The 15,475-nt window shown below is 42.5% G+C and overlaps 2 pseudogenes; both read right to left on the bottom strand.

Annotated features, from left to right (window-relative positions):
- Positions 3,036 to 3,851, bottom strand: MRGPRX13P (MAS related GPR family member X13, pseudogene; annotated as a pseudogene).
- GLTPP1 (glycolipid transfer protein pseudogene 1) lies at positions 9,297 to 11,616 on the bottom strand (annotated as a pseudogene).

Below are 15,475 nucleotides of genomic sequence, written 5' to 3'. Positions count from 1 at the left end.
GTAAATTGCCCAGTCTCAGGTATGCCTTTATCAGCAGTATGAAAACAGACTAATACAAACAGCTTTATTTATAATAGCCAAAGTGGAAACAATCCAAATGTCTTTCCACTTATGAATAGTGAAAGAAACTTTAATACACCTAGAGAATAGAATCTTACTTAACAATTTAAGAAAATCAACGGCCGGGCACGGTGGCTCACACCTGTAATCCTAGCACTTTGGGGGGCCGAGGCGGGCGGATCACGAGGTCAGGAGATCCAGACCATCCTGGCTAACATGGTGAAACCTCGTCTCTACTAAAAATACAAAAAATTAGCCAGGCGTGGTAGCAGGTGCCTGTAGTCCCAGCTACTCGGGAGGCTGAGGCAGGAGAATGGCGTGAACCTGGGAGGCGGAGCTTGCAGTGAGCTGAGATCGCACCACTGCACTCCAGCCTGGGCGACAGAGAGAGACTCTGTCTCCAAAAAAAAAAAAAAAAAAAGAGAAAATCAACAACAAATTACTTACCGCAACAACTTGGGTAGATCTTGAGAACATTATGCTTAGCGAAGAAAGTCAAACTCAAAAAGGTTATATACTATGTGATTCCATTTTATAACATTTTTGAAATGACAAAATTATAGAGATAAAGAGCAAGTGAGTGGTTGCCAGGGATTTGGGAAGGGGGATGGGTGCGGGTGTGACTATAATGTGTAACCTAAGAGAGTTCTTTTGTGGTGAAGTAACAGTCCTATACCTTGAATGTGGTGGTAGTTATGTCAATCTATACATGTGATAAAATGTCATAGAATGATTCGCAAAGGGAAATCTGCAACCAAAAAAAAAAAAAATGAGTGTATAAAAACTAGTGAAATCTGAATGGTTAGCTATGGTATAGATAATTTTATTGCACCAGTGTCAATTGCCTGATAATATACTATATTTATGCAATCTGTCATCATTGGTGTAGGTTGGGTGTAGGGTACACAGGAACTCTCTGTACTAGTTTTGAAACTTCTGGTTAACCTGTAATTAATTCAGAATGAAAAGTTAAGAAACAATGGAAAGAGCAGTTGGTTGGGTTGACTACCTACTACCTATGTGGATAATTGAAGTCACCAAGAATGAGGGTGATGTCGATGAGGGGTATGTTAATGAGAAGTTTGTAAACTAAGACACACGGGCCATAAGATCATATAATAAGCATCATACACACATCTGTAAAATGAAGCATTAAATTTTGTCATATTTTCTTCCAATTGGTCTTTAAAATAAATAAATACAATTTTACAGCTATATCTAGAGGCTCAAACTTGCATCTCTCCTCTCACTGATCTCTTCAGAGCTTCTGAAATTGATATTCATTATTCTCTCATATGTGTAGCTGGATGTTGAAACAGAAGTTTTAATTGAAATATCAAGACACTAGGCTGGGTGGGGTGACTCACACCTGTAATCCTAGCACTTTGGGAGGCCGAGGCGGGCAGATCACCTGAGGTCAGGAGTTCAAGACCAGCCTGGCCAACATGGAAACCATGTCTCTACTAAAAAAAAAAAAAAAAAAAAGACATTGTAGATACCACATTTCAAAAGAGGTGCAAGGTGAAATGCAGAATTTAAATGTGAAGTTTTTGGATAACCAATTACCAACTCTCAGTCCATCATCCATATCAAGCCTATAAAAAAGTTTAGAGTTGGATTTTTATGTGAGGAATAAAATGTTGAACTTAATTTAAAGATAAACTATCTTCCCTAATTCCACTTTGGGTCTTTTGCAGGCAAAAATGCTGCACCAGAGAAGAGGGTGCTTTCCACTGCTTCTCTCTTTCCCCCTACTCCCACACTTCTCTTTGTTCTATCTCCCTGTTGTTTTTACCAATGTTTTCTGACCCTGAAGGATTTGACATATTCCGGGGAGGAATGTTGGGAGGGTAAGACATTGCCTTTTGGCTTCTCCTGCTAGGCTGACCTGGCTGGCCTGCACAAGACTTGGCCATATTAAACAGTTCATTCCAACTAATTTCACAAAAGGATTGCCAACCCCTATCACTTCAAGGCCACTACAGACACTGGTCGTTGTTTAAAGCACTCCAGCCTTATGAGCCTTCTTTTTTAAAAATTAAATTAAATTTTTTTTAGAGACAAGGTCTTGCTCTGTTGCCTAGGCTGGAGTGTAGTTGTGCAATCCTGGCTCACTGCAGCCTTGACCTTCTGCACTGAAGCGATCCTCCCACCCCAGCGTCTCAAGTAGCTGTGACTACAGGCATGTGCCACTGTGCCTGACTAATTTTTAATTTTTTGTGGAGATGGTGTCTTGCTGTGTTGCCCAGCTAGTCTTGAACTCCAAGCCTCAAACTCCTGGACTCAAGAGATTCTCTTGCCTCGGTCACCCAAAGTTCTGAGACTACAGGCATAAGTCACTGTGCCTGGCCTTTAGAGTCCTCTTAAGAGGGATCTTGCAACTATGACCAGTCCATTTTCATGCTGCTCATAAAGACATACCCAAGATGGGGGCAATTTATAAAAGAAAAAGGCTTAATTGGACTTACAGTTCCATGTGGCTGGGGAAGCCTCACAATCATGGCAGAAGGCAAGGAGGAGCAAGTCACGTCTTACATGGATGGCAGCGGGCAAAGAGAGAGAACTTGTACAGGGGAACTCCTCTTTTTAAAACCATCAAATCTCGTGAGACTTACTCACTATCATGAGAACAGCATGGGAAAGACTTGCCCCCATGATTCAATTACCTCCCACTGGGTCCCTCCCACAACACATGATAATTCAAGATGAGATTTGGGTGGGAACATAGCTAAACTGTATCAGTGACAAAATACTTGGGGTGGCACAAGGAAAGAAACTCATTTACATACAGATCACCATTCCCTAAATTACTTCTATGCTTTTATTAACAATGCTACTATGAATTCCCTCCTTTCCCATTTCCAGAAAAAAAAAAGAATTTATTGGTTAAGTTGAGAAAGATGGAGATGTTCTTCGTTTAGACTGCTTTTTCTAAGAAAAAAAAAAAAAACCCAGGAAAAACAAGGCTAAAATTAATCTACCCAAAGTCATTGAGGAATCACTAAGACACTTCAGAGGCATGAGGCTGAGAGAAGAGCAGGTAACTGTCAATGCTGGCAGGGTAGTGTTGCTCTCAAAGTCCTGTCTGACTGACAGGGCAGAGGTTCTTCCTCACTGCTCCAATCTGCTTCCCGACATCTCCAGGGTTTCCTGAGGAAGCCGCCCTCCACCTTCATCCACCTCAGGTGTGTCCTGCAGAGCCTTCTGGAGAACCAGCTTCAGGTTCTGCCAATTTTGACGCTGCCTAAAGGAGCCCATGAAGAAGTAAATGATGGGGTTGGCACTGCTGTTAAGAGAGGACAGGACATCTGAAACTGGTTGCAAATGACAAAGGAAGATATCAAAATCCACGAGGATCCAGAATAATAGGAACCACTTAATGCCTAAGGGCAGGCTGCAAATAAGGAAGAGCAGCACTGTGAGCAGGATGGTCACACAGCGTGGTCAGCAGGATGTGCAGGGAGCCACAGAGGATCCTGACCAGCAGGACCAGGCTGGACTCACAGAGAACCACAAAAAAAATTTAAAAATATAAAAACCAGCCACACTGCAGTGATGAAATCAAATGTCCAACACCAACCATAGTCACCATTACTAACTAAGAAGCCACAAAACTTCCCTTCCAGGGTGTTCAGCAGCAGGGACAGGGCCCAGGGCAGGGCACACATGACAGTTGACAGGTTTCTTGGGCAGCAGCAGCAGTACCAGATAGGCCGCAGGACAGACAGGCAGCACTCAGTACTGATGGCACTCAGCATGCTCAGGCCTACAAGGTAGGCAAAGGTCATCACGCTGGTGAAGAAATTCAGAGTGTTCAAGTCACAAGTAAGAAGAGGAGTCTCATTTGTTTTTATTTACTGGTGTGAGCTCTGTCCTTCAGGCTGGAATGATTGGATCCATGCTCAGAACCCTCCACTGGTGCCCCTGGAAGGTTAGTGGGAACACAAACAAGATTTAAACACCATCTGTATGATCTCTGATTTGTAGGACCACTCTGCAATGTGTGAATTACTGTCCCCATTTTACAGAGAAGGGAGACTGGCTTATAGAGAATAAATAGCAAATCAAAAGGTAGAGATCCCTTGAAACTAGATTCAAACCCAGTTCTCGCCGGTTCTAAAGCCTGGGCTCTATTGCAACAGAGGTCCTCTGCTGACATGGGACTATTCTATGCTGGAAATACCTTCACTCAGCTGGCTAGGGCTATGGACCCAAGCATTACTCTCTCCTGGGCCAGAAATTTTCCCTCAGGTGCAGGAATTCAGAAAGACAAAGAGATGGCTGTGACACCCCCATGACTAGGAGTGGTCTATCCATGGAGGAGAAAGAAGACCATGATTTAAGGGACATGAGAGCAATGTAATATTTTGCTAGGAGAGATGTAAGAATGGCTGGGCCTTGTGGGTTAGAAATGGCTCCGTGTGTCAGTCATTGAAGTCAGAAGCACCTTTTATAACCCTAGTGTCTAGCTCCTTGTTCAGCACACTGTGTTCTCCGCAAATATTTATTCAATGAATGAATGCGTGAATGAGGAGCCTAATGGTAGTAGCAGATTTGGTGGTTAAACGGGAAATAAAAATGAAAGCACAATTAAAAGCATTAGAACACACATGTATAATGAGATGAAGAAAATTTCATTTATTCAGAATTCTTTTTCTGGACAGCTCTGTGTGTGTTAGAGTAATTACTGATGTGTGCCCAAATAGCTGAAGTTGACCACTGATGTGCCTTTGATATGAGAACTCAGTATGGCTTTGCTGAACATCTGGAAGCATTTTGGTACACAATGTTGGAGTAGGAAGTGGATTTGAGCTGAAGTGCTCAGCAATATAGTGAATGAAGGAGTAAGTGTGAGGTCTGAGTGCCACTGAAGGAGGAAATTGAAGTGTGGGAATAGAGACGGAGGACTACTAAGTGGTGTGCTGGGTGTGCACAACATAAACCTACTTCACTCTTTCCCAGGAGATCTTTAGAAGAGTTTCTTTTGCTGGCTAAATCTTCTGTGTGAGAGGAGTCTATGTTGGGATGTAGAAAAAGCGCCAGGCTTGGAGTATAAAGAGAGATGCTCATGCAGATTTCAACTGGAGACAGAGGACTAGCTCTCATCCGGGTAAATAACAGCAGCTGATTGAGAGTTTACCAGCTACTACTGTCTCCTTTAATCCTCTCAAGAGCTTAGGAGGGAAGAATTATTAATATTCCCATTTTACAGACGATGGCATAGGGGCACAAAATGGATGCATAATTATTCCTTGGTCTCACACAATGTGGATTTGAACCTAACAGGGCTGCCTCAGGTTTCAATCTTAGGTCCAGCCCTTTGGCCCCAACACCACCAAGCGTTCAATACACACGTTTGAGGGGGAAAGCAGGGGAGTAATTCCCAAGTTACATCCAAGTTGATTGTCAAGATCGGGGGTTGAAAAAAAAGCTAACTATAACAAGCTTCAGTTAGAGAGAGAATAAGAAGCAAATCAAATAGGAAACAAAAGAGAGATGAGTGAAAGCCAATTAGGAACAGATAGGAGAATCCTGGAGCCCTTTTCTACCTTACAAATGTAGCCATCACTCAGTCATCCAGAGGATTCAATAAATCAGGAGGCCTCTAAGTGGAAAGAGGATGCATTTTCTTCTGAGGGTGGAGAGAAGCATCAGGCGTGGATGCATCCACTATGAGCTCTCTTAGAGAGACAAACTCCCACAGCCTTGGTTGGCCAGGAAAAGAAAAGGAAGGAAAACCAAGACTTCTGTTGCTCCCACGCAAGGTACTGAACAGTTTGTAAATGTATTATTAGGGTGTGATACATTTGTCTTCCTTATCAAAGCTGAACCTTCATAACTAAGTCATACCTGTATTTGTTCACTACTGTGTCCTCAACATTTAGCATGTGCTCTTTTAGGGCCTCTTTTTGTAATATTCTCAGTTAATACAGGAAGAGGCTTAAAGAGTACATTGGATTTTCCTGTTCACATCATGAATAGCATGGCCAATACCAGCCTCTGTCTCCTGGAGCCCTGTCTGAGGCTTTTCCACTGTCTTCTGCCCTATCAATCATTATTTCTTGGGGGAAACCCAAAAAATTGTCATGTGAACACAGAATCTGAGAGACTATTATGGTCTGTAGAGACTGCTAGTGTCCCCTGCTAACCATTCCTCTCCTCAGTCACATAGTATTTCCCTTTTTTTTTTTTTTCTGAGATGGAGTCTCACTCGGCTGCCCAGGCTGGGGTGCAGTGGTGTGACCTTGGGTCACTACAACCTCCACCTCCCAGGTTCAAGTGATTCTCCTGCCTCAGCCTCCTGAGTAGCTGGGATTACAGGCACCTGCCACCATGCCTGGCTAATTTTTGTATTTTTAGTAGAGACAAGGTTTCACCATGTTGGCCAGGCTGGTCTGGAACTCCTGACCTCAGGTGATCCACCCGCCTTGACCTCCCAAAGTGCTGGGATTACAGGTGTGAGCCACTGTGCCTGGCCTGTCACATAGTATTTCTGAGAGTTATAAATCATGACAAGGATCCTATTTACCCCAACCCCTGCCTTGATGTGCATGACATCTTGTGATTAGGCACTAGACAATGGTAGGTGAGCAGATATGGTGTAACTGACTCTTGGATTAATGGAAGAAGTGTGGTCTCCCTCTCTCCTCTTCTTCTTCATCCCAGGCTGGAATGTTGATGTCACTGGAAGCCTGCAGAATCACAAGGATGAGGGCACCTCTCTAGGGATTAGGGAGCAGCAACATGGAAGGGCTTCTGGTGTCTGATGCCTGGAACCTCCAGCCCAACCCAGGTCTAGTAAACTTTGTTACAGAAGTCATTGTTACTACGGGACTTTTTTAAAGCAGCCACACTTACACTCTGACCAATAAGCAAAAAGTTTTTTCTTTTTCAATTGCATTCCATTTTCAGGGAATTTTTGATGAATATGGAAGATTATTTCATTAAGTGACACTAGAGAAAGAAAGTGCAAACAGGACAAAAAGTAACTGATGGAGATGTGATGAAAAAAATGGTTTAATAACATTTAGATAGAGAAAACCCCAGGAATAAAGGGAGGTTTGAGGGATCATCTCATTGGCCCTGGATATTTTTTCCCCACCTTTTTCCATTCTGTTTGACATCTGAAGAGGGATGCTTACCTCATCAGTGGTATTCTTTTCCTTCTGCTTTCTGGTTGAATTGAGCCACTGGGAGATCCCAGCAGGAGGAGAGTCATTTCGGATTTTCACTTCCTGGCTCTCTGCCTATGTGGCTGTGTGTTGGTGATGCAGGGCTCCTCTGCCTGCCTGGTCGTCCTCTCCCGCCCCTACAGCTAGCTACAGGTAAAGCTATGATTTCAATGATAACTCCTCCTTCCCTGTCCCTTTAAACCTAGGAGAGGAAGCAGTGCTCCACTATTGCTGCTTAGGGTGCTGCCCCAGGCATTGTCTCTTTCCTTTAATTCGGCCCATCTTAGTAAATAGTTCCCTCATGAAACACTCCTCAATTATTTCAGTTAGGACTATTTGTTTCTTCCTGGACCTTTCCAAATATACAAAGGAGAATAACTTTGAAAAGCAAGTAATGCAATAAAACCTGGGTGTACAGCAGTTCAGCTCTGGGAAGCAATACCTGTATGTTATCCTAGTCCTTAAATGAATGTAAGAGGCAGCTTCTTTCCATGAAAGCAGATTTGAATGGTTGGAATAAAAGGAGTGATACAGGGAGATGGATCTGAAGAGAGAAAGGTCCGCTTGACTCCGTTTGGAACTGCCATAGTTTAGGCTGCCAGTACTCAGCCTCCAGAAGGAGGGCTTATATCTCCTGCCTTTTCCTGAGGGAGGCACCATCACCCACTGCATGTAGCACTCCAAGGTATAAGCACAGGGATATAAAACTAGAGCAAAAGTTATAACTGGAAATCAGACAGTTTTTGGTATATATCCTTACCTTTCCTCCATTCTTTTGTCCAGAGGTAGAGAGTTGTCTGGTGCTGAATGGGGACAGCCTTCCTTGGACTGAGTGATGCCTGAGGATTTTTCTTGTTTTTCCTTTTTCTTTAATGAAATTATTGTTATTTAAATAGTTTTGAGGGAACAGGTGGTGTTTGGTTACATGAATAAGTTCTTTAGCGGTGATTTCTGAGATTCTGGTGCACCCATCACCCAAGCAGTGTATACTGTATCCAATATGTAGTCTTTTATCCCTCACTTCCCTCCCGCCCATCCCCTCAAGTCCCCCAAGTCCATTATATCATTCTCATGCCTTTGCGCCCTCATAGCTTAGCTCCCACTTAAAAGTGAGAACATACAATGTTTGGTTTTTCATTCCTGAGTTACTTCACTTAGGATGATGGTCTCCAAATCCAACCAGGTTGCTGCGAATGCCATTATGTTGTTTCTTTTTCTTCATCCACTCATTGGTTGATGAGCATTTAGGCTGGTTCCATATTTTTGCAATTGCAAATTGCGCTGCTATAAATATGTGTTTACGGTTGCGCGTGGTGGCTCATGCCTGTAATCCCAGCACTTTGGGAACCCGAGGCAGGTGGATCACCTGAGGTCAGGAGTTCGAGACCAGCCTGACCAATATGGTGAAACCCCGTCTCTACTAAGAATACAAAAATTAGCTGGCATGGTGGTGTGCACCTACAGTCCCAGCTACTCGGGAGGCTGAGACAGGAGAATTGCTGGAACCTGGGAGGTGGAGGTTGCAGTGAGCTGAGATCACGCCACTGCACTCCAGCCTGGGCAATAGAGTGAGACTCCGTCACAAAACAAAACAAAACACTATGCGTTTACAGTGTCTTTTAAATATGATTTCTTTTCTACCTGAGGATTTTTCTATGTTCTCTAATTGTGGAGATGCCTTCAGGAGCAGAAGTGAAAGTTGATGACTAAGCCAGGCTTATCAAGTTGCTGGACATCTTGTGATTTCCTGCACAAGAACTACAGAAAAATTAGAGACCAGAGGCATTTGAGGCAGGATTTCTCACTGAGATGTTTCTTAGCCTCTACCCCATTTCCATAACACATTAGCCTCTCTCATTCCATCCTTTCTGGTTCACCTCCCTGTAAGTAATTGCTGTTCTGGACCCTTAATTGCCAACTGCAAGCCTAGGTAGTACCATCAAGCAATGAGAGCTTGCATTGTGGAGCTTTATAACTAAAGAATAAAGTGGATCATAGGGTCATTCAATACTTACAATGGCCTGATTCTACTTTTTTTGGTATGTTTTCTTTTTTTTTTTTTTGTGATTCCAAAATAGAGATTTATTTATTAAGGATTATTTAGTTTCTGCATAAAAATCTCCAGTTGCTCCTCATTGGGTTTTTTCTTTTAAAACACACATCAACTCTTTTGGGGTTGCTTTGTTTGCCCCAGCACTTTAAAAAATACAGCTCTTTTTAGCGCCAGGAAGAACAGTTAAGGTTAAGGCAGTGAGGCATTTTCTTGGATCTTAGCAGCTGAAGGGTTCATCTCTCCCCATCAAGAGAATACACACAGTAGGTAGTTTCTTAGGTTGGAAAATCTGTCCCTGAAGGAAATAATTCTGCAGAAGAATGCAAACAGAGTCTTCTATGGTCAATTGTTTGTGCCCTATAGCTTTGAAAGAAATGCCTCTTGGTCATCAAAGACTTGCTGGTTGGTTTCAGCTGTAAAACAATAATAACAAAAACAACCAGAAAAACGAAAACAAACAAAAAACCCTGTTTAGCGAGACAGAAAGAGCAGGGTTTATAATATTGCTGTGAGGCTGGGCTGTGCAAAACACATGAGAATACACACCAGTTTGCTTTTTAAAAAAATCCCACATAGGGGCCCTGCATAATTTCAAATCAAGCTCTTTATAGTCCTTAAAATAACCAAAATAGCAATACAGCGAGAGTCTCATAAGGTCACGTGCTTTTTTTTTTGAGCCGGAGTTTCGCTCTTGTTGCCCAGGCTGGGATGCAGTGGCGCGATCTCGGCTACTGTAACCTCCACCTCCCGGGTTTTAGTGATTCTCCTGCCTCAGCCTCCCAAGAAGATGGGATTACAGGCATGCGCTACCGTGCCTGGCTAATTTTTTATTTTTAGTGGAGACAGGGTTTCACCATGTTGGTCAGCCTGATCTCAAACCCTGACCTCAAGTGATCCACCTGCCGCTTTTTTTTTTTTTTTGAGACGGAGTTTTGCTCTTGTTGCCCAGGCTGGAGTGCAATGGTGCCATCTCAGCTCACTGCAACCTCCACCCCCCGGGTTCAAGCGATTCTCCTGCCTCAGCCTCCTGAGTAGCTGGAACTACCGGTGCGCACCACCACGCCTGGCTAATTTTTTATATTTTTAGTAGAGATGGGGTTTCACCATGTTAGCCAGTCTGGCCTAAAACTCCCGACCTCAGGTGGTCCGCCCACCTCGGCCTCCCAGAGTGCTGGGATTACAGGCGTGAGCCACGGCGCCCGGCCATCATGTGCTTATTTTTAAAGCGAGGTGGATGACACCATTCACCCAGAGCCGTGTTCCTTTTTGGCGACAAAACAAAACCAAAAAAGCCTAGGACTTGACTCATTAGAAGTGTTAATCGATTTTTACCACGCTGAAATGAAGGTATAAAGTCAGTCTGTGCTGTCGTGAAATTCCAAGGAGATTTGGAAGTAAGATCATTATTTACTGGTCCTTTAGAATAGACCCCACCCCCCAAAAAAAGACTTAAAAAACGAGGGCTGTCCCCTGCAGACTCTGGCAGGACCCTGGGCTGCTCTGGGCGATGCAGACCAGGGGCAGCTCACCGACTTGATTCACAGTGATTCTGGTTTGCCGTTTCTCTGTGTGGCCACGAGTCGGGGGCGTGTCCAGCGGTGGGCATACTTACACCTTGTAGTTAAGCTCAGCGTTCATCTGGGTATACGTCTCGTAGATGACATCGATGGTCGCCATGTAGTTGACTAGGAAGAGGCGGATCTTTTCCAGGCACTCCTCCTCCGTCACATTCTGCCCCTTGGAGAGCGCTTTCAGGAAGTCGGACTTACAGGAGGCTGCGTACAGTGCTGCCTGGAAGATCTGCACGATCCAGCCGTGGTACTTCATGAGGGCCATTTCGTAGGCCTTGGTGGCGTTGACGCGGATGAGGTTGAGGTGGTTCTCGTCCGGCTCCTCGTTGCAGATGCTCTGGAGGAAGACCTGGATGAAGCGGAGGCCTCTTTTCAGCCACATCAGCGCCAGCGTGGCCCCTACTTTGAGCCGCTCTGCTCCATACATTTCTTTCTCCACCTCCAGGATGTTCTGCAGGGTCCGGAACTTGGCTGGGTTGGTGTCGTACACAGCTTTGATTTTTGTGATGTTGCTGCTTATGTCTGCCTTGATGGGAGTAAACACTGGGGACCCAAGGCAATCGAAGAAGGGCGGCAGGTGGGACACCGCCTCGAGGAAGGGCCCAGTCTCGATCTGCTTGTCCGCGGGCAGCGGCTTCAGCAGGTGTTCGGTCAGCAGAGCCATTTCGGGTTCGAGGCCCACGGTGATGCCCCAGCCGGCACCGCGGGCGTCCACACCGCACCCCCCGCCACCGCCGTCAGCGCCCGGGCAGTCACAGCCCTTTTTTTGGTATGTTTTCATGATCACAGTGATAATGCATCTATGTGTGTATTTTAATTCCAAATGACAACGTAGTACATACAAAGTGAAAGACTCCCTAAATCTGTTCTCCAGAGGCTTCCCTTTGCTACCCTTTTTATTCTTACTTTTTAAAATTATGAGCTCTGGATATAAACATATTTCTATTTTTAATTTATCAGTATTAAGGAGTGGCTTAATGGACATCCCTTATAAAGTGTGAAGAGTTCAGCACATATAATATATCCTTATTTTTCCTCCCTCTACTTCATGAAATTTGTTATTTATTTCCATTTGGTATGAATATTAAAAAATTAAAGCCTTATCTTCTATCACTGCCCTTCTTGTGCCTCATGCTGTAGCCAAATTAAGCTACTTGTCATTTAAAAAATAATGTCATTTGAATTAGAATCTATTTAAAATATTCAGAAATATTCTTCAATGCTGAAAAAATATTTTAAAAAGACCTTGTTATGGGCTGAATTGTGTCCCTCTAATATTCATATGTTGAAGTACTTAGCCCCAGTATCTCAAAATATGAGTATTTTGGGGAAGGAGGTCTTCAGAGAGCTAGTTAAGTTAAAACGAGTTCATTAGAGTGAGCCTTAATCCAACATGACTGATGTCCCTATGAGAAGAAGAGATTAGGACACAGACATACAGAGGGAAGACCCTGTGAAGACACAGGGAGAAAAAGACCCCATCTACAAGACCAGGAGAGAGGTCTCAGAGGAAAACATGATGATACAGCAGTATACAGCTCTTAGAAGGCTAAAGTAAAAAAATACTCATAGTTTCAAATATTGGCAAGGATTTGGAGAAAGTGGATCTTCTATACATTACCAGTGGAGAAGTAAATGGTACAGTACTCTAGAAAACTGTTTTAATTTTCTTAAAAAGTTAAATATACACTTACCATATCACCCAGCAATTTATCTTTGGAATGTATCCAAGAGAGTGGATAAGGATGTTCACTTAAAAGTTTGAACACAAATGTTAATAGCAGCTTTATTTAATAGCTAAAATGGAAACAAAGCAAATGTATTTTCACCAAGAATAATGACACAAAGCTTACTCTATCCATACAAGGAAATACTCCTCAGCAATTAAATTAAAAAGGTTTTTGGACAGTTCAAATTGTATGGATCTATTCTGTACAATGTGATGCTGAAGTACATAGACGTTGTGGTATAAATTTAGCTAAATAACAAATATATTACCTCATATGGTATTTTTGTGGTGAGAACACTTACCCACTCTGCATTTTTCAGAACACAATATATTATCATCAGCTACAGTCACCATGCTGTATAATAGATCTCTTAAAATTGTTCCTCCAGGCTGGGTGTGGTGGCTCACGCTTGTAATCCCAGAACTTTGGGAGGCTGAGGTGGGCGATCACCTGAGGTCAGGAGTTTGAGATCAGCCTAGCCAATGTGATGAACCCCATCTCCACTAAAAATACAAAAATTAGCTGGCTGTGGTGGTGGGTGCCTGTAATCCCAGCTACTCAGGAGGCTGAACCAGGAGAATCACTTGAACCCAGGAGGCAGAGTTTGCAATGAGCTGAGATTGCATCACTGCACTCCAGCCTGGGTAACAGATCAAGACTCTGTCTCAAAAAAAAAAAAAAAAAATCAGTATATTTTTTCAATATACTGATTTCATTTCCCTTGGATATCAACCCAGGATGTTCCTCCCATCTAAATGTAATTACATATCCTTTGACCAGCGTCTACTCATCTCCCCTTTCACCTAACCTACCCAGCCTATGGCAACCACCATTTTACTCTCAATTTCTGTGAGATCACCTCGTTTAGATTCTACATATGAGTGAGATCATGCACTATTTTTCTTCCTGTGCCTTGCATATTTCACTTAACAGAATGTCCTCTGGCTTACCCAAGTCACTAGAAATGATAGAATTTCATTCTTTTTTAAGGCTAAATAGTATTCCATTGTGAATATGTACCACATTTTCTTCATCAGTTTATCTGTTGATGGGCACTTAGGTTAATTCCATATCTTGGCCATTGTAAATAGTGCTGCAAGAAACATGGGGATGCAGATATCTTTTCAATATACTGATTTCATTTCCCTTGGATATCAACCCAGGAGCAGGATTTCTGAATATATGGTAGTTCTATTTTTAATATTTTGAGGAACTTCCATACTGCTTTCCCTAATGGCTGTACTAAAATACATTCCCACCAACAGTGTATGAGGGTTCTCTTTTCTCCACATCCTCTACAATACTTGTCATCTTTTGTATTTTTGATAGTAGCCATTCTAACTGGAGAAATGATATCTCATTGTGGTTTTGATTTGCATTTCCCTGATGATTAGTTACATTGCACATTTTTTCTTGTATCTATTGGTCATTTTTGAGTCTTCTTTTCAGAGATATCTATTCAGTTCTTTTGCCCACTTTTTCACTGGTTCATTTGTTTTATTGCTATTGAGTTGTTGGAGTCTCTTAAATATTTTGGATGCTAATCCTTTATCAAATGTATACTTTGCAAAATTAGTAGAAGGAAGGAAATAATAAAGATCAGAGCAGAAATAAGTGAAAAGAAGACTAGAAAAACAAAAGAAAAAATCAATGAAATAAAGAGTTGTTTGTTTTTAAAAGGTAAGCAGATTTTCTCCATTCAGTAATTCCAGAAATAAATAATTCATATGTTTAAAATTATGTACCACTTTGAATAGTGTGATGAAATCTCTTGTGGTCCTGCTCTGTCCTTCCTGGGATGTGATTCACCCCTTTGCCTAGCATATCCATGCTGTGTACCCTATCCATCCATTTGTAGCCCTCTCAGTTGCTAGATCAGTTGTTGTGGTATCACAGTGCTTGTGTTCAAGTAAACTTTATTTTACTTATTAATGGCTCCAAAGCATTAGAAATAGGGATGCTGGCAATTCAGATACGCCAAAGAGAAGTGATAGAGTGCTCCCTCTAAGTAAAGGTGAAAGTTTACAACTTAATAAGGAAGAAAAAAAATAGAATGTGGAGGCTGCTAAGGTCTACAGTAAAAACTAGTTACATCATAAAGGAGGCAAAAAAAAATCATGCTGGTTTTGCTGTTGCACCTCAAACTGCAAAAGCTATGGCCACATTACATGACGATTACTTAATTAAGATAGAAAAAGCATTAAATTTTTGTGTTGAAGAGGTGAACAGAAATGTGTTTTGGTTGCTGTCAATTGAAACACTTTTCATACAACCAGTGGGGGTCTTGGAATTTATCCCTTAAAGATAAGATGGAACTACTGTAAAAGGAAGGAAATAATAAAGATTGGAAAAAAAAGTAAAAAGCAAAGGGGCCAGGTGCGGTGGCTCACGCCTGTAATCCCAGCACTTTGGGAGGCCAAGACGGGAGGATCACGAGGTCAGGAGATCGAGACCATCCTGGCTAACATGGTGAAACCCCGTCTCTACTAAAAATCCAAAAAAAAAAAAAAAAAGAAAAATTAGCCGGGCATAGTGGCAGGCACCAGTAGTCCTAACTACTCGGGAGGCTGAGGCAGGAGAATGGCATGAACCCGGGAGGCAGAGCTTGCAGTGAGCTGAGATCACGCCACTGCACTCCAGCCTGGGCGATAGAGCGAGACTCCGTCTCAAAAAAAAAAAAAAAGCAAAGGTACAATAGAAAAATAACAATAATGATGAAATTTATATTTTTGAAAAGATAATAAAATTGATAAATTCCTAGCAATACCAATGAAGAAAAATATAAATAGAGAAAACACAAAACTCACACTGGGAATCAAAGAGAGACTATCATGGTACGTACTACCAGTATTAAAAATACAGAAATAAAAAGCTCCTTTGAATGATTTT

The sequence above is a fragment of the Homo sapiens genome, chromosome 11, assembly GCF_000001405.40.
Source record: "Homo sapiens chromosome 11, GRCh38.p14 Primary Assembly".
Taxonomy (NCBI): Eukaryota; Metazoa; Chordata; class Mammalia; order Primates; family Hominidae; genus Homo; species Homo sapiens.
This window is presented reverse-complemented; position numbering and strand designations above follow the sequence as displayed.